Consider the following 20,473-nt stretch of genomic DNA (forward strand, 5'->3'; position numbering starts at 1 on the left):
TTGCTTAAGAGGAACAGAAATGCTGTAAATTGTGATTACTGACACACTCCAGGTTGGGGAAGGGTCTCCAAAAACCAAAACTGAGATCTTGGTTTTAGAATGGCAGAGAGTCCCCGTGAGTGATAATTTTCACTTGGCATCATACAGAAATTCAGGGAAATGCTTGGGACCATCTGTTCAACTACGATAATGAGGGGTAGTGGGTTTCTCTGGGGAATGTGCTGAGATGTATGAAGAATTAGTAGCAGAAATAGGACCTTTGCAGATTCCAGAACAAATGGAAGGGACCACTGTCATCCTGTCTGCTACCTGTAAAACTGCAGATTGCCAACACTTCTTTCTTCTTTTAAATGCAAAATAAGTCATCTGCAAAATAATAGACTTTAGAGTAAGGTCATGTTTTTTAGAGAGGTCAAAACTTTCTGTCCCTTCTCTCTGGAGCTCTTGGGCAAAGGCACCTGCGTATGGACTTCACCATCAGCCATCTGTCCTTTTGCATCCCATCATAAGGGCTTGGAGGAAACAAGACAGCCCCAATTATGCATTTACAGACTCACTGCACAAGCACTCACACATACACACTCACACCCATGCATGCAGACACATATTAGAGACTCTCATTCAAGGAGTTTATAGAACTTTCACTCCTATACTCAGAGAATAAACAAGACCATTTGAACCCAAGAGGAAACATGCTAACGTTGCTTAGTTTTCCAGTCTGTGACCTCTGGTGAGAGTCACTGGGGACCATCTAAAGGCTGCCCACAGACTGCTGTCCTGTGTTCACAATGTCCTAGATTTTCCTTCTCACCGAACTTTCCTGACCCTTACTCACTACAACTAAATGCTCCAGCTCTTTAATGCCCAAGACCTGAATTTAGTCAGTCCAGAACCCGCAGGAAAATGGTGGAAAGAGAATAAACTTCATCACAAGTTTGTGGCAGCAGCTTCACATGAAATCTGTGGCAACCTATACCTTTTTTGAATAAGCATTGCCTCTTTAAGGACAATTAGGTATTTATTGGTACAATACATAATTTATTCTGGAGGTTACTGGTTTATGAAGGTATGGGAAAACTGCCAACTTATCATATGAACAGCAGTTATGAGTAATAACAAGCGTTATAATTTACATTTAAATTCTGTTTTTACATTAATGAGGTACCTAAAATGCAACCCAGCAAAAGGCCTTTTGTGCACATAATCTCTTGCTACCTAAAATAGAAATCTGGTTTTATATTATAACTTGTATACTCCCGGCCTCCTCATAGGAGCGCCTATAATATTCACTTAGAAACTAGTGATGGGGCGACTTGAAAAAATGTAGCTGCCATCATGAGCCCAATGAATCTTAGACACCAAGAAATATTTTTCGTGAAGTGTCTAGAGTAATTAATGATAAACTGCTTATATACAAAGAGGTAAGCTGTTTGGGAGAAAAAATATGTTGTGGGTCACCAGACCTCCTAGGGTGACCACAGAGTTGGTCATTTCTAGGTGAGGATGGTGATATTAGGGAAGCCAATTGTCAAGAAGTACAAGTCTTCTCCTAATGGTGGACCTGAACATATTATGCTCTGGACATTTGATTTCTACTATTCACTCTTAGCCTCCCCTCCACAGACAGCATCTAGCCTGAACTTCTACCTGGCCTATCCTATGACAACTGCCAGCCCATCTGAATTGTACACTCCCCTCTGCCTCAGATCTTTGATGGTCTATCTCGTGCCAACCTGCTTTTCTGCTCTGAGGCCCTGCTTCATAACACTTTCCAGATCTAGATCACTTATCTTGAACTCAGTCGTGGCTTACTCATCAGCCTCCTAAGCCCTTCCTTGTCCCCACACCTGGTAGAATATCAAAGTGGAGAACCTGCCAAAACCTTAGGAAATCTTTACTCATTCAGATCAGGTGGGAAGAAAGACTAATTACTAATAAAAGAGATACTATTTTTGGGAATAAAAGATATATTTTTGTATATTTTTCAAAATATACAGTAAATCCAACTGGACTATCAATGGATTTATTTGCAGCATTCCTTTGTAGCTCTGTGGCTAATGAAGGAGAAACAAGGTTTTGTGATTGAGCAAGTATTTCCAGAACAAGTGGAAGCAGCCACCCATCATCCTGTCTGCTACCTGTAAAACTGCAGGTCACCACAAGTACACAATTTATTCTCCCACATTTTTGTTTTTACACATGCAATCACACAATTAATCTTATTAGAAAACCCCTGTAACAGGTTGCTCCAGGGTGAGTTTCATTCATTTAGCCCCTCCCTAGTTGTGTTTAGCACCTACTACGGGCAAAATGGTTAGATGCTGTGGATGTGGCAGAGAATAAGACGGACGTGGCTCCTACCTTGGCAGCACTAACGTATCACAAATTCTAAATTAGCAGAGCATTAATTAATTAATTTTTTATTTTACCATGCATGGAGAAGCACAAAATTTTAACTAAAATTCTACCCAATTTCAAATCCAAGTTCAACGTTTGCTAAAAAATTAATGTTAATCACCACCATATACTCTTCTTCTACCCAATTCCCCTTTTCCTTCCCACTCTAGTCCAAATATCACTTCCCAAGTGCCCTCCCTATTTCCCTAGGCACAGTTTTGTCTCCTCGTCCTCTCTCCTTCTTCTCTTTGTATTCATCGTTAAACAGTCTATCAAAAGTTCACAAGTGGTCATTTTTGCCTACTTGCTTTCCTAATAGACTGTAACCTCCCTGAGGCATGGTTTATCTTCCTAGAACTGTCTTCTTCCAGAGCTCCAGAGTACAACATTGCAAAAGAAGGGACTTAGGAAATAGAATTCATGTTCTCAAATATTCCCTTGCTGTCATATGAATTCTGTCCTTACTCTCCTACACACACAATGACCATTCCCAATCCTGCTTCGGTAAGTTCATTAAACAATTAAATTTTTGGCAAAAGGAAATGCAATAATTGCACATGTCCCATGCCTGGACGTTTAGTCAGTCAATTCGTACCTAAGGAAGTCACAGTTGTGAAGCACTGCTAGGGTGCCAAGAATTAATTACCCCCAAATAAGTTCTTGGGGAAGGACCAAGTTTCCCTCATCAACATTCAAGGCAAATGCCATCACACAAAGGGAAAGGGGAATAAAAAGCCCAGAAGTCTGAACAGGAAAGAGCATTAAAAAAGAAAGCAGGGAAATAAAAGAAGTGTATTAGAGCAGCCACACGCCTTCTTCCTCGTGCAATGCTGTAGGATGATGTATGTAAAGGGAACTTCAGTTTACATTCAAGACCTCATTCCTAGCATCAAATGCCTGGTATTTTCAAACCGAGAGCAACCTAAATACTTTTGTCATGAAAAGAGAACTTCTCCCTGTTGCAGTCATGAAATAAAGCAATACAAATAAAGCTGAGTTCACGTACAGTTGCAAAAGCCCCAGCTGAAGCCAGAATGAACAAGAGACTCCCTCTGAACCTTGACCCTCACTTGCATCTTTCCTTTGGATTCACTTATTGGTGGAGGTGGATGGAGCATGATGCTAAGGAGGCAGGCGGCAGCAGGCACAGGTGCCATCAGAACCACTGTCTGAACACACAGATCTTTTGATGTTTGTATTCATTTTCTCTCATTGCATCACTAATCATCAAAACTTAAGTGATTTAAAACAATGCACTTTTATTATCTCATGGTTTCTGCGGATCAGATGAGCATATCATAGCTGAATCCTCTTCTCACGGCCTTGCAAGTCTACAATCAAGATGTCAGCCAGCCTGTGTTCTCATCTGGAGCTCAGGGTCCTCTTCCAAACTCAATCAAAGTGTTAGCAATATTCAGTTCCTTGCAGTTGTAAAACTGAGGCCCTCAGCTCCAGAGGGTCATCCTTCTTCATAGGCAGCTCACAATATAGCTGCTTGCTTTGTCATGGCCATGAGGAGAGTATCTGTCACCTCAGGAAAGACCCACCCCCTCTTTTTAAAAGCTTTCACCTGATTAACTCAGACCCACCCAGGATTACCTCTCTTTTGATTAACTCAAAATCAACTGATTAGGACCTTAATTTCAGCTGCAAAATCCATTCACTTTTGCTTTATCATGTAACCTAATCACAAAAGTGACATCCCATCATATTGACATATTTTGACCACACTGAAGAGGAGGGGACTAGACAGGTGGGAATCTCAGGGGCCATCGTGATATTCTGTCGAGAGCAATGTTGCAATTCTCACTTGACATTCCCAGCTCCTTCTCTAGCACAGAAGGAAACAAGGAAAAATGGGTGGAGAAGGCAGGCAGGAATCCATTCTGTGGATAGAGTTAGTGGGCTGAGCCATATGAAATTGCCAATATTTCATCATATTTAGGTCAACAGAAATAGATGATATACAGTCATAAATAAATATACACAGAGACACATACACATATATTTGTATGTATACATATACATACGTAAACATAGTTTAGGGATAGGAATAGGTATAGATGAGATAGAGATAGAGATAGAGATAGAGGTACAGGTTCCTTTCATAAACGAGGTCTCTAAGTCTTTCTAAATCACCCTGTTGCTGGGGTACCAATGAATACGCTTTCAGTTTGGTTCATAGTATTTGTATATAAGCTGATATTTCAGTGGTTTTATGGGTAAAACAGTTGCTATTTACTCTCCATTTTCACAAGTCCTCTTTTTCACCTTCACTTTCATTTTTGCAGCAACAATGAAGTCCCAAGGAAGCAAGAAAAAAGGGAAAGCTCATCCTAGATCTGGCTTTTATTTCTGAGTCAAACTATCATCATGACTGCCTAGATCTTCAACAGCTCAGAGCTGACAATGCTATTCTCAGTTCACAGTGGCGTGTGTGCGTGTGTGTGAGTGTAATGCACTCTTGTGTTCAGGCACTTGGGAGACTCTAGAAGGTCTTCAAAGTACTTGTCATTTCTGGTAGATGTGTTAAGTTGCATCTTACAGACAGTACATATGACTTGTACAAAGCCGCTCAGAGAAAGCCTTGCCCAAAGCAGAAACACACTGCAAGATTAAAGAAAACTAATGTTCATTTCATAAGATGGGAGAACTTCAAGAAGACACCATATATTAGCTTGAAGAGAACATACCTGCTTTATTGCCAACAGTTGCTAAAGAGATGAGATTGAAGTCCATGGAGAATCCCAACAGCAGAAAGGCATGAGTTCACTGGAAGCTGATAAAGCATGCACAAATATGTGACCGTGTGCACTTTTGTTTGATAAAATCACTGCCAATAGAGTGGTGCTTAGGCTGCAATAATTGCAATATGACTAGAACAATATGAAGCCAAAATGTCAGAATTCCAATTGTTTAAGCAAGGAAACAGTTTGTAAATGCTCTGAAAATTGGAAACCATTATTTTCATGCAATTCTGTTGGAAATAAGAATTAGAATTTGAATCACCAATACATATGACCATTTCAAGGGCTCATGGAAAAGGAAAATTGAACATTTACTGAGAAATTGGGTCACAATGGGGTGTGATGGGGATTGGGATGGAATGAGAGGAAAGCAGCACTTTTTCACTTAAATATTTGAACCAATCGGCCAAATCTAACCCATTTTTCAGTGACTTCATGTATAACCAAAGACAATTATTTTCTCCTCTCTCTGCTTCAGTTTTATAAACATACATGAAAATGTTCATTCATTTAACAAACATCCATTAAATGCTAAACATAGGCAGTCCAGGCATTGGTGTGCTCTTGGCCTATTCAGAAGGAGTGCCACAGCCAGAGGGGCAATAACAGGGAAAAGTTATCACAAAATTGTGGGGAAAAGGAAAATTGAGACATGATACCATGAAAGATCCTTCCTGAAGCCCACAAGAGTTATGAATATACTGTATCATTGGAAACTAGACAGGCCCCAATAGAATTTTTAAGTTATTTCAACTTTTGTTACTGTTCAAATTGAGATAAAATTTGTTTATTTTATGACTCCTAAGGTTAAGACAATGAATAACACACCTGAGAAATATCAGAGGACAAATTACACCAATAGATCTAAATGGTTGACTCAGATATCAATGATCTCAAATGACATTAGGAGCTGTTTCATAGCAATTCTCGTATTAACATTCTCCATCTTGGGTCGAGTCATAGGAACTGGGATTTCCATTGTTCTCACTCCTTTTAGTGGAGAAGAAAGGGGGTTTCCAAGAGAGGAAATTGTAGGAACAGGAAGGAAGAGAACAGAGATAGCAAAGTGTCTACAGAGATTAGGGTAGTAACATAAGTGAATGAAGATCCCAAGGCGTGAGGGCAGAGCTGCGATGTATTGGAGAGCGTGGGCAGTTGCCCTTTCCACATCAGCCCTTTATCGCCATGTGAAAGGTACGCAAAGAGGTTAAATCTTCTGATCTTTTAAAAGACAGTCCAATGCATTATGTAAAATTTTTGAAACTCTGGCAACCAATTAAAAAATTTAGGCAGTATTTGGATCAAAGAAAAAAACCAGGTAACCAGTTGTGACTTCAACAGTAGAACAGAAAATATGAAGACACTCAAATCCTAACACTGTATGTGAAATTAGCCTAAGATAGTAATTCCTGAGAACTAAAAGGGCTCTGAAGAAATGAATGATGAGGGTGAGTTTTGTTGGGAAAGCTAAGACTCCATGGCAGGGGAGGGGATTTGAGGGTAATGGAGAATGTTTTGTACATAATAGTGTACACCAGACAGATCAAAAAAAGATGGTTAAGCAAACAGAGAGATAGCGCACATACAGAGAGAGGGAAAGAGAGACTACAAAGCAGCAAGGAAAGAGAGAAATTAAGGCAGAAATGGGTGTCTCAGAAAAGTAAATATACTTCTTCTAAATTTGTACTTAGAATATTTTTCCTAATAAAACAGTTTTTAGCAATCTTTACTGACAACAAGGACATCATTATTTACAGCATTCAGCATACTTTATGATGTTCAACTTTTGGGTGTGTTAAAGATGAATGGGACCCTAGAAAAAAAACTTATTATTCCTAGGATTAAATACTTAACAAATGGCAAAAGTGTCTAAGGACAGTTGTGAAAGTATGATAGCTTTGGGACAAATATATTTTTCCCTTGCAAAAAAACTTGAAGTTAAAAGGATAAAATATTCATAAATGTGCTTTAGCCCTTTGGAGGAAAATAGACACATTCACTTATACTCAGTCTTATACATGAACACATATGCTTCCTGTCTCAGAAAGAGATATATTCAGCTGGAAGCCCTAAAAGTTCCAGAACTCTAAGGGTCAAGTTATAGCATCATAAAAATGATAAATCTCCATTTGTGAAAATAATTTTCCATTTATGAAGAAAATTAAGGGACTTGGCCCACTCCTGAGGTATGAATATAAATAGATATTTATAGCAATCATGTGTCCCTTCCAAACATTATTTCAATTTTTACAAAATCCGTTGGGATTTAGACCCAACTATTTCAATAAAGACTTGATATAGAACTATTCTCAGTTCTTCTTGCTTTTTCTCCCTGAACAGGTACAGTTTTCTTTTTTCTTTTTTAACAACAGTCAGTAAAAGTGTTTAAAATGTCACCAGTTACTTTTTCAAATTTCTATCCAGATAAGTCATATTTTGAAAATGACAACTAGTCTTTCTGCACATAGCCATTTTAGAAGTTTTACAGCTTATCCAATTTAATTCAGAGGGTAGATGGGTGAGGGTTTGGATGTGGGGTGAGGGTGATGAGGGGGGGCAAACCATGCCTCACCCTGCCCATAAATGCCAATCAACCTCAAGGCAGAGGCACAAGTCTCCATTTTTCAAATGTCAGTATGTCTTCTAATAAAAAAAATATATGGGGCCAAGCGACTATATAGTTCTCATTCCTCACGATCTCATTTTCAAATGTTCCTGATCTTTCATCTCTTGCTTATGTTTTCTGATGGAATGACAAAACCTCCAGCACATTCAAGTTCACATCCCAAATCTCTGATAAAGCCTTACTGACACTTTCACTCTTTTTTTTTTCACCACTAAAGATCTCCCCCATTTCCCCCACCTGGGGGACCTCACCTCATTTTAAAGTTTTCTTTTTTGCAATCAAAAATAGATTTTAATCAAGTATAGCATTGTAAGAAAAAAGTAGATAAGCAAAAAAAGTAATTAAAACATTGAAAATTGTATTTCCATATACCAGGGATACACCTAGGTATTATTTTTCTATGTGTGAGTATATATTTATGCTCAGCATATTTGAACAAACAATAGAATGATACTATTTTGCAACCTCATGTTTCACTTAAATTATTGTGAATACTCTTCTTCCACTAAATATCATCCACATGGTTCTTAATAGCCAAATAACACAATAGCCCTTGTACCTATATGCTATAATATATTTAGGCAATCCAATTTTTCCCTATTATAAACAATGCTGTGAAGAACATCTTTCCAACCAAATCTTTGGACATATTCCTACATATAATCCTAGGCTAGATTCCTAAAAACAGCACCAGCAATAATAATAGAAATAATTATATTTATTGAGGTGTTACTTTATGTCAGGTTCTGGCTAAACACTTTCATACATTGTCTCATTTAATCTTTAAACTAACTCCAGTTTTACAGGTTAGAAAACTGAGATATAATGATTGACAAGTAATTTGTCTTAGGAAGTACTATTTCTAGATCTCCAAGACCTGGCTGAATTCCAAATTCATTCACACTCTTCTACTACCCTGAGGGTAAAATTTCAGCTCAAACAATATCCACATTTCAAAGTATTCTGATGAGACACTAAACAGCCCTCCAGTTACAACAAAGTCCACTAACTCCGTGTATCTAAGGGTTGAGTTTTCCCAGCACTGTCCAGAAACATCTTACCAACACCACCAACACAATTTAAACACTGCCTTTAAGTTAGCTTTAACACCTCAGAAAATGGGGCTATAAAAATAAGCAAAAGACCTGGGACTCAAATTGAACATAAAAGTTGTTGCAGATATTGTTTCTTGACAAACAGCCTCTCCAAACCACATAAATTGTCCAAAACCTCTTAAACCTTTGCTCTACATCACCCACATAGGACTGCAAAGGGAATACCACAAAAGAACTACAGGCTAATTGAAAAATCATTCACTTGAGATGCTGTAAGGATCATGCTCCATTTCTACAGACATATATAGAAACTGGAAACACGTGGAGTCCTTACTGACCTGAGCAACTGGCTAATCAGCACACTCATAGAGAAATTATCTCATTTTTCCTACCTTGCATGGCTGGATTCATATTTAATAATTCATGGGAGAATGAAAAATAAAATCTCTGCAGGGGAGATCAGGTATCCAAACTCCATCCACTCCTTCATCTTGGCTTCTTCCCTTTCAAAGAGGAACTGCAATATTGACCGACAAGCCAGTCTACCACCCAAAAGCTGATGTTTCTAAAACCTATTGTTCAAAGATCATTATCATGGTTTTCCATTAGCAGGACTAAGAAATCGCTTTCCTAAATAATCCTGTCAATGGCTTAAAAATATATTTATTTTTGGAAGAAAGGCTCAATACGGCACTGGCAAGGGGATTATATTGATCCTCATTTTGGAGGATTTTTCCCCTTGCTTTTTTTGAGGGACAATTAATATTGACTGTACCTATCATTAATTTTCCACAGTCAGCCAGGGCTTTTAGGTTTTATAAGTATAACATCAATACAGACTGTCTTAGAAACTCTTATTTATTCCATGTTTTTCTCCTGTATTCAATGTTCTCTATCCCCACAAGACAATGCTTCACAGGTTTAAGCAATCTGCTACTAGAGAATTCAATGCTTGCAAGGAGATGGGCTCCCCTTATCTTTCCAAAGAGATCGGGATGTGAGTAAAAGGCAGTGATTTCACAGCTCCTCTGTCCTGGGGAGTGGGGAGTGGGTGTTGAAGGCAGAGATGAGAAAGGGAAGGGGGGACAGAGGAGGCGCCTTCCTCATCCTCATTCCGGAGCTCAATTTCTCACACCCCTTGTCTCCGAAGCCTCCATGAGCACAGGGGCATCTGGACATGCATTTTTCTCCCCACGGTGAGCATCAGTACTTTGTACTTTTCTTCGTGAAATACCTGTTTCTCTTCATTCTGTCAAGAATCCCTACAAGAACACCGAGGGTGCTGTTACGAGTTAAAACCCTGCCTCTGTGGTTCTGCTCAGGCCAGTGTGGCAGTTGGCTTAGCATTGGTGAGGCTGCAAAAACATGAGGGCTTCCAGTCAACTGCCCAGTCTTCTTGGCAACGACCTGTGTATCTCTGGGCATGAAAGCCCTTCGTGACCTCTGAAGTGCCACCAAAATGTGTTGGCCTTGAAGCAGGGTTCCTGGCCCATAGCAGGCAAGCAGTGTTCCCCTCCTCTGGCCCTCTGGCCCTTGCAGGCACAGGAGAAATGCAGAGGCTCTGCGGACTGTGCAGCTGCCTCCAGGGGACTACGGACCACCCATCACCAAGAGTCTCCTCACCCAGGAACATCCCTCCTCCAGCATTCTATCCTATCTCAGACAGGCTTACGCTGGGTAGTGGCCACTCAGGTCTTCCAAAGCCCACGGCTAAGAAGCACACAGGTCACTTGCTGGCCCTCTCACTGAGCAGATGTCCTAACAGTGATATGTTTATTCATTCCTTCCTCAGTGATGTACTTAGAGCTGATTCTCAGCCAGGTACCAAGTAACAACCAAAGATATTTGTCCAGTTCTCAAGAAGCTCACAGTACATATTATCTAGTGGGGTAGGGAGGGTGAGAAGTGGGGGGCATAGATATATCACAAAAAAATGTGATACAGTTAGTGTTAGGAGTAAGTATAACATGTACCTGTTTATTCATATTAGAAGAAAGGGCTGCTCTATTTACAAGCTAGGTTATCTTGGGCAAGTTCCTAAACCTCTCTGTGCCACATTCATCACCTCTAAAAGGAAGCTAATAACAACTGTCCTACCTTAAAGCATTCTTAGGAAGATTAAACAAGGCAATACAGGAGAAGTGTTCAGCACAGTGCCTGACAGTAAGCATCAGATGTGTTCAATGTCACTAGCATTAGCATCCCTGTCTCAGTTCACCTATAGCTGGGATGAGTAGTGGGGAGCCCATTAAAATGGGCCCCCAATGCAGAATGGAGCAGAGAGGTCAGAGAAGCCCTTGCTAAATAGATGATGCAAGAGCTCTGTCTTTAAGAAAGGCCACTTAGTACAATGTGGCCAGCATGGGAGTGATGGTAAGAACTGAGACAGGAGAGGCGAGGAGTGGCCAGTGCTAGGGAAGACAGTGGTGTGAGAAGGTACCTGGCTGAGGGGCCAGGTCAGGCTGCAAAGGAGAATGAGAGGGCTGAGCTACAGGTGGATGGATGAGCATGCAGGTGAAGGAATCCTTGCTCCTTGGCACAGCAAGCTCTCTTTTGCTCTTTCTGCCTGGCTCTCTGTATCTCACTCCCTGAGCATCTTCTCGCTGCCCCTCAAAGTTTCTTTCCTTCCTCCTTTGTTGCTTTTTTTGTCAGTCTCTATCACTGGACCGATGTGTCTGTTCTCTCCCTTCTCTCTCCAACTATGTCTTTCCCTCCCCGAGTGCCTCCCTCTCACCCTGCTCTCTTTTCCCATAGCGCTCACTGCCTCCCCACATACATATCGGTTACTTACTGTGCCTGTCACTTCGTGTTGGACCCTCTCCCTTGCCAACTGTGATGTAAGTGCCACGGGGCTGGGGTTTTCTCCTTGTCTGCTTCCTGACAGATTCCAAGCACCTAGCAAAGCATGTGGCACATGAGAGGTAATCCAGCATTCGTTGTGATGGTGGTAATGGTGAGCAATGAGCCAGGGAGGTGAAGGTGAGACAGGAGCAGGGCCTCCCTCCCTTAACAGGAATCAGAACCCCTAATTTGGAGTTGGTGTCACCAGTTGCCTCAGATTAGAAAGGAGCCAGAGTCCCGGGCAATAAGGATAGGGATCGGGTCCCAGCCCACATGACCACTCAGTTCTGCTGTGGCTCAGGCCACGTGTCCCTTTCAATGCCAAATGGATATGAACCCGAAGCAAGAAATAAACCTTTCCTCTTTTAAAGATTGAAATTTCAGGGTTGTTTGTTAACCGTATCAGAACCTAATCCCTCCTGACATATAAAACTAAAAATAATCCAGCAACTGTACTTGAAATTGGGATGAATAAGACATGTGCCTTAACCTCTAGGAGCTTAATATTTTGAGACATGATAGGAAGAAAAATTTGAAGGCAACACTTAAAATGCTAATTAAAATCTTTTATAATGTACTGTTAATTTCTCAATTCTACTATAAGTATTTTTAGTTAATACTATTTTATGATACATATGTATCATTATTCATGATTTTTGTATGGTTGTTATATTAGATATACTTTGGAGGATTTTACTCCTTTCGTATTTAAGAGTACTGACAAATACTTGCCATAGGTTTGCATTAGTCATCACTGTTATGATGAATATTTAAGATCAAATTCATTTTGATTCTGTTTGATTCCTTTGTCAGGAAGTTACAGGAAAAACTCAAACTGGCTTAAGTTATAAAAAAGTTTAATATCTCACATATATGAAAGTTGAAGCCTAAGTTAACAGAAAATAGACAGGTTTGGAAAAAAAACAGATAAGGGCCAACTGAGATCCTCCCCAAAAAGTAGAGAAAGACAGAGACCAGTGGCCCCTTGGTGCCACACACAGGCTCCCTGCTGTAGTGTTCAGGACACTCCTGTCTGTGCACTGCAGAGTTTTCCAGCTGTGATACCGCAAGGATATAGTAGTTGATATCACAGAAAACATATACTCCTGGGGCCATAGGCTTAAGTTTCATTTCCCTTTGACACTTAAAATAGAGATAATATCGTCACTAGCCAAGAGAAACTAAGACAGGTCAATAAAAGCATCCCCTTACCTTTAAGCAAACATCTGTTGAGCTCCTATTCTAGCCAGAGATTGTCCTGTATCCTCTGGCTGCATCAAAGCTGGATCACACAGGGATTCTGTCCAGAGGCATTAATAACCCCCAAACACTGGAATACAAGGTAGAAATACTAAGTGGCAAAAGAAAAGTGAAGAAAAACATGAGGGCTGATCAGAGAAGGTGGTATCCCTGATAATTGATAGCTGAGATTGTTCTGTTACAAACCTTCAAAGCAGATGGAAAGCTTCTTTGAGGAACTCATTCCAAAGTGTAGCCAACTAAAGCTGCAGATTTTGTCCTGGGCTGTCCATACTGCAAACATGGGCATGATTCGCTAGTTTTTGCCTTCTGGGTGTAGTCAACAGCTAAAAGTAATGGGACAACCCACATGTACCAGGAAGACTAGAATAAGAGATGGCAAACAGCCTGTGTTCTGGTGTAACTCATTGATGGACACCTTACTAAGTTCAGGGTTAGGCTTCTGATCCTGCCAGGATTAGCATTTACAAAGCACACTCTATGTGCCACTTCCTTGCCCAGACATTTTACATGACTTATCTCACGTAATCCTCCCCATGAGCACACTTCACAGACGTAGAAACTGAGGCTGAGTGATTAAGTCAAGTCACACAGTGGGTGAATGATGAAACCAGCTTTGGAATGCAATGTGCGTCTGATTCCACGGACCACATTCCTTCCACTACATCAGCAGTCAGTTCTTCCCTGGCTTACTTCACATGAAGCAGTTCCCATCTCCTTCCACCTTCACTGTCTGCCTGTATTGTCCTAGTTGGGTTTTGCCTTTTCTCAACAGCCTTGGGTTTTGCCTTTTCTCAACAGCCTTGTCATATTGCTGCCCATACCTGGTGTGAGAGTCCCTAAATTCTGATGGGCAGCAATTTAGATCCACATCATCCTGTCCAGGTCTTTCTCAAAGACAGACTTTAACGGTTCTCTGGAAATGAAAAGCAGCAAGCGTCATAGTATCTAATGGCAATTTAAACAGGCCAGCCAGTGGTCAAGCTGTCCCATTGGCTAAGTGTATCAAGTCATCCCCATATAAGTGCGTATTAGTTCACACAACAGCACAATGCAAGGATGGGGAAGCATTGCCAAATAGCTGCTGTGCTCTGCAGTTGTGTAATATTTATCTAACAGCTAATATAATATCAAGTGACAGTTGAAACAGGCTACTTTCACCTAATCTGTGCATGCTGTATGCAAAACAGCTCTGACCCTGGCTTGATTCCTTAAAGCATGTAGGATTTAATTATCTCCCACTGTTATAGAAGTAACGACATGTTACTTAGTGCTTTCAATACTGATAAATAAACTCCTTCTGACAAGTGAGCTAGAAACGCACCCTGTTACAAAGTTGCAATATAAAATGTTGCTGTTTCTAAACTGGGAATTTCCTTTCCTAATGGTGAAAATGATCCCTAGTCCTTTAAAATGGATAGTTCTGTACTTTCTAAAATATGGTACACCTAGAGCAATGAGATATGCAGTGTCTTTTCTTCAGGTGCTCATTGGGACGAATTAACAAAAGGAGACTGGGAGCATGAGGAAAGAGAAATAGAGAGATGCCTCTGTGTACTTTATTAACACAGAACTTCAAATAAACATTGGTGGGAGTCTCAATACACTTGAATACACACCATCATCTTTATTTCACAGCTAAGGCCCTGGATTTTGAGAGTACAGGAGAGATTTATCTTCAGAGATAAAATCTCCAGTTTCTCACAATTCACATTCATTTCTCCCATCTTTCTTGAAAGGGTACTCTCTCCTCCCTCCCCAAGAATCACAGATCTGTTCCCTCCTCCCAGCCCCACCCCCTTTGACTCTCTCTTATTTAACTGACTTTGACATATCTCTAATACTTATTTAGAGCTGCCTGTCACCTCTGTCCACTGCCTCACCCCCTCACAGATGGGTATTTGCTGCTACACAATGTCACCAGGAAATAAGGTATGGATATTAAAACAAGTGGCACAGAAGACAGCAAAGCCTCAAGTGCAATAGATAGAGGGAGATGGAATAAGAGACATTGTCATAAATACACGTAATGTTCAGTGAAGGAGGAGTTGCTCTCGACTGACCTAAATATAACTCCAGGTGTAGGTGATGTATAAAAATCATCATCTAATTCAATGGGGAAAGGAGGAGGAGGAAAAAAAAATGTGTCCTGGAGCTGTAACTGTCATTCCCTAAGTTGCTATTTCCCTGTTTTCCAAAGATTCTTTCTGAGAATCTTATGAGTTATAAATCTGTGTTTGTAAATGTGTGGTCCATGATTTGCACTCAATCCAAAGTAATGCTGTGCTTTGTCTGCCCTACATCTTTAAAACCTTTGAAAGAGTTGCCAACATTTAAAATTAAAATATTTTACCTAAAATGAAGAAAACTGGCTTCTTTAGAAAATTTCAAAGATCTGACAGTCCTGGATCGGCACTACTTCTGGTAACAATTAGTTGATGCTGAAAACCAACTTTTCCTTACAGTGGAATATATGGTGTCCAGTTGGCCCCACTTCCCACCAGTCCCAGTTGCCCTCCACCTGACTATGTCATTCATTTGCATGATCTGTGGGCCCATGCATTTCTGATTCCTGCCATAGACCCTCTCTCCAGAGAAATGTTTGCATACACAAAATTCACAGTAAAGATTCAGAAGTACATGGAACTCCTGGTAGAGATTATCTGTTATCCAGAGCTCCAAGAGCTTGGCTGAGTCACCTGTCTCATCTTCAGCTTCCTTTTCTATAGAATAAAGAGTATGCATAATCATTTCAGGTCCCTTTCTCCTTTTGTATTTAAGTGAAAAGACAAAACCTCTTTCTAAATCAGTACTCAAGATAAGTATGAAAAGCTCAGTTTCAAAAAAAAAACTAAATTCTGTAGACCAATAAAGGAGTCACCACCAACAGCACAGACAGTCAAAGACTCTGTAGGAGAAAATTGGCAAGTTTTTAGACACACGCCTCCACCAAATAATCATCCATCCACCACTCTGAACCTTGGAGTGTCCACTTTGCACAACAGGCAATCATCTGCAGTTTGTCTAAGGAGCAGGGTGTATAGGAAAGCTGTGGGATAAGAAACACAGCCTGAGAAATTTTTCCAGCAACAGTGCAGTTGTATATGTTCAAGAAGAGAACTCGCGCTGCAGGACTAAATCTCAAGTAAGAAGCTGATAACGTGCCTTAAATTGCTCTGTTGGGCCTCCTATCCTGCCCTCTTTCCCTCAAATTTTATAAATAACACCTAAATATAAATTAAGCCATTCACATAATGGCTATTTTCTAACGGGTCAGTAATGTGGTGGAGACATACAAGGAAAGCTGTATTTTGTCCTGCTACTTACAGACTCATAGGCTTTTAGTAACAGAAAGGACTTTCAAGAGGCTCTAATATCCCCTTATTTTACCAAGGATGCCAAGAACCAGAGCAGGGGAAACATTTTGCCCAAGATGCAGGAGGATCATGCACACCTGACCTCAGGCTAGTGTGTGTGTGTGTGTGTGTGTCTGTGTGTCTGTGTGTGTCTGTGTGTGTGCGTGCATATTTTTGCCTGTAATGCCAACTCCACCATTTATAGCATAACATGGGCTATAGAACCAGACTGCCTGCATTCAAACTTTGGTTCAGTTCTTACTACCCAAGTCCCAATATTTCCCTTGACTCTGTTTCTTCCTCTATAAAAGTGGAAATAATGGAGTGTTTATCTCATACTATTGCATGAAGATAAAATGAGATAAATCATATAAACTACTTGGAACAAGGCCCAACGCATAGTAAAAACTAAGTAAATGTTAATTCATTATTTATTATCAGTCTTTTTTTCTGGTCAGACTGAAAACAGTGTGGGATGCAACCAGGTTTACCCTGGGCTCAACCTGTGGGGTTTCTATGTACTCACTATGGGTCATTGAACAAGTATCTTAACTACCTTGAAATTTAATTACTGATCAGTGAAATGCTGAGAGAATTCAATGAACAATGTGTATGGAAATGATCAGTACCATGTCCAACATGTCACAGGTGCGAAGGAAAAATAGTCGTAATAATTAACATTAATATTATCATTAAGGTGCATTGTTTTTGGTTGAAGGCTGTGGATTTTCTCCTACAGGGAGTAGACGATGTCTTGGAACTCCACCCTTTTTCCACCTTGCAACATACCGATCAGTGCCCATAATAATCACTAAGGGTTTATTTATCCTCCAGATACTATACTAAGTGCATTTTATATATTAATGCATTGAATCCTCACAGCTACGCTCTGAAATAGGTCATATTATTATCATCCCCATTTAATAGGTGAGGAGACTGAGGCTTGGAAAATTAAAGTAACTTAGTCAAAGGCCTTCAACGAAAATGGAAACAGCTGGAATTTAACACCAGGCATTGGACCCCAAGGCTCCTCAAGGAAAAAAAAATCTGTAGTGCTACTGGATCCCCAAGGAAACAAAATTTATTCTCATAGTAAGCCTTATTTTTGGCCATTTCTGCCACAGGGTTTGGAAATAAATGGGCAGAGATTTAAAATGACAAAATAAAACAATTTCTTTCATAGAATAAGAAAACTGACAACATTTTCTGAAAAACATGACAGTTGAGACACATTGACATGTGGAATATTAACTGCATCGAATCAAATAATCTACCCCAAATCATTATCAAAGTGCCACTTGGAATTTTGTCCTTGTCAAAATGAATGGCTTCCATTTGTTGAGCACCTATGCCATGCCAGGGACCATCTATGAGCCTTTGAGGAGATGTCATTTAATCCTAATGTCATACAGGTACTAAATGACAGAGAAAAGACTTGCTCAGGGTCCAGCCCACTTTATGCCCAAGCTCTGTGCACTGTGAGTCAAGGAAGAATACAAAGAGGTTAACAGGGAAGGTTCTGGAACCAGCTGCCTGCCTTGCAATACTGGCTCCTCATCTCACTACCTGTAGCCATAGAAAGTTATTTATGGTGCTTCTGTTCCCTCTCCTGCAACATGGGGGAAATAAGCCTCCTCAGAATGACTGCATGTAAGTTTCTTAGAAAAGCACTCCTCAAAATGCAAGCTGGTCTGTATCCTGTATGTCCCTAGTTCATGACCAGATAAGTATGAAATTGACATCTGAGAAAGTTATTTTTATGTCCAATGACTCTAATAATAATAAAACAATAAGACTTGGATTTTCTGTGCCATTTTTACTTTTATTTTTCTATTAATTTTATTATATGTTAATAAGGCAACAGTCTATGACCGATTAGAATTTTTAGGAAAAAAGAGGAAGAGAGGGAATCCTTTCCCACAAATAGTTAGAGAAGCAGATTAGATGCTTACATGTTATACATAACCTCAACCAATGTTAGTTATTTATATAATTATTTGCTATGCTGTCCCTCCGTGTCCTACAAAGAGAACCAAAAATTCAAGCAGCATCAAGATGATAAATTCAAGGACATAGGATGCTGGTAGATTACTGATCAGACTTTGACTCTCTCAGAGCTCTGGTTCATGATCTATTGGGAGAAACGACTAGGGAATTCTGAAGGTTTTGCTGAGCCAGATCAGTGGGCTCCCATGAAGCCCATAAGTGGAAATGGTGGAAAACAATTCAATGCCTCAACTTTTTTTCTCCATTCTATGTCCAACATTATCCTATTTTCCCTATAAATCTTCTCACTTGCTTGCCTTAACCTTTCCCAGGTCCGTTCCTTCTCCTGGATGGTACCTGATGGGATTTATCAGAAGGTTAAAGCAAAGGAAAATCCGGATTGGAAATCTCAGATTGCTATGTAACTGGCTCTGTGATTTGGGGTGTGGTAAAAATCATCTCGGAGCCTTGATTTCCCAATCTGAATAATTGGAATCATAATGCCTATCTTAGAGGAAGGGTTAAATGGGATACCATGTGCAAACATCCAACAGACTTGATTCCCCTTCTCCATCCTCCTTTGCAAAACAGGTAGTACAGTAGTTGGTAGAAGTGGGTGAGGAAAGGGAACTGATAAAATCTGAGGACAGGGTCCCTTCACTCTTATTGTTTATTTAAAGTCAGAACTCCAAAACATCGGTAAAACCACAGGAAAAAAAAATATAATACGATACATCACTTTTATGTAATTACCAGAGAAAACATCTCAGTGGACAACACCATTTGACTGAAAACCTGAGGAAAATGCCCTATATTAAATAATTTGGGGGGATGGCATATGCTGCCAAGTCCTCTCTGTAGAAAAAGGATATGTAAGCCTGTAGAGGGGTCTGCAAGAGGGAACTCATATTTGGGAGAGACTTCCCGTGCAACAATCAGCCCCCATGCAGACAGAGTGCCTTTACAAGTGAAGTGAAATAGAGAGACTCTACTGTAAACTAACACTAATAACCTATTGATGAGGACAACAGACCATTGACCAACTTGAGTGATTCTAAAAGAACTGAATTAACTGCTACACAATGGTGTTTAACAAACACAGCCAGTATGTGATTGGTTGCAAGTGTCTTTGCAATGAGTCAGAACTTTTGATTTCAACGAGGGTTGCAGGTGACAGAAGATGAAGTCACCCACAAACAGATATCTGAATGCATCTGAAAACTCCATCCCCACTCCTATGCTCTAACACAAAAATGCAGTTGCCACCAGAAAATACAGTTCACATTGGGGGCGTCATTTATAATGGCTGATGTCAATAGTCTGAGAAAGGTTTACATTCAGTGTAAATAAGTTAGATTTGAGAAGTTAATGAGTTCCACTACCCAAGCTGCTCCTTATTAATTCATACAACTCAAAGACACCCACTAAAAATAATACCTTTTGAGCTGTATACCATCTTTATGGAGATCATTAATATTTCCCCGTAATACAGCAGTTACTGTTCCCATTATTTCCCTTGATCACCTTCATGCTCCTGACCACAGCACCACCTCATCCACAATTCTCACTTGTGTTAAAAATGCCCTCAACTCTCATCAGCCTTCCTTTCTCCAAGTGACCATTGTCTCCACACACCCTCGTGAGACCTCAGCTGAAAAACTGCCTGCCTCATCTCTCTCATATCTCTCTTTCTAATGGGAGACACAGAGTAGACTGGAATGGAAGGTGGAAGAGAAAAGACGTCTTAAAAACTGCACAAAGACTGGCCTTGAAGCACAGCCTCATTCATTTGCTCACTCACTCATTCTTCCAACAAACAGTTGTTTGTGCCAGGCACTAAGTAAGATATTCAGGATGCAGGAAGCAATTAAAACCTAGTCTCTGCAGGGAAGCAGACAGATATGCAGATGACTGGAGAAAAGGAGGCAGAAAATGAGGAGTCTCTGAGCTGGGTCTGGAACGATTAGTAGGACTTGCCTGGGAGACGAAAAAGGGATGGGCACAGGAAACCTCACATTGACAAGCAGAGACTTGCTCCATTTGGCTCTTTACTATGTCCCTGGCAACAGCACAGAGCTGGGCACACCACAGATGCTCCATAAGTGGTGAGAGACTGAATTAATGAATTAATGATACAAAAGGATTCCCACAAGAATCGAATCACTTGCTGCCTATCAGTCCCTTAGAAAGACAAACAGAACCATT

General features: G+C 40.3%; 1 protein-coding gene across 15 annotated transcripts in view, besides 1 other annotated feature; it reads right to left on the bottom strand.

Moving 5' to 3' along the window:
- PPARGC1A (PPARG coactivator 1 alpha) overlaps positions 1 to 20,473 on the bottom strand; it is a 680,885-nt gene that overhangs the window by 218,782 nt on the left and 441,630 nt on the right. The gene's annotated exons all lie outside the window — the stretch shown is intronic.
- Positions 19,177 to 19,678: an enhancer, noted in NCBI's record as "NANOG hESC enhancer chr4:24031602-24032103 (GRCh37/hg19 assembly coordinates)". NCBI's record gives its function as "activates a minimal SCP1, AML or CMV promoter by ChIP-STARR-seq in naive H9 embryonic stem cells {active_cell/tissue: H9 hESC(naive)}" and the evidence as "EXISTENCE:reporter gene assay evidence [ECO:0000049][PMID:30033119]".

This window comes from Homo sapiens, chromosome 4 (genome assembly GCF_000001405.40).
Source record: "Homo sapiens chromosome 4, GRCh38.p14 Primary Assembly".
NCBI classification, from domain to species: domain Eukaryota; kingdom Metazoa; phylum Chordata; class Mammalia; order Primates; family Hominidae; genus Homo; species Homo sapiens.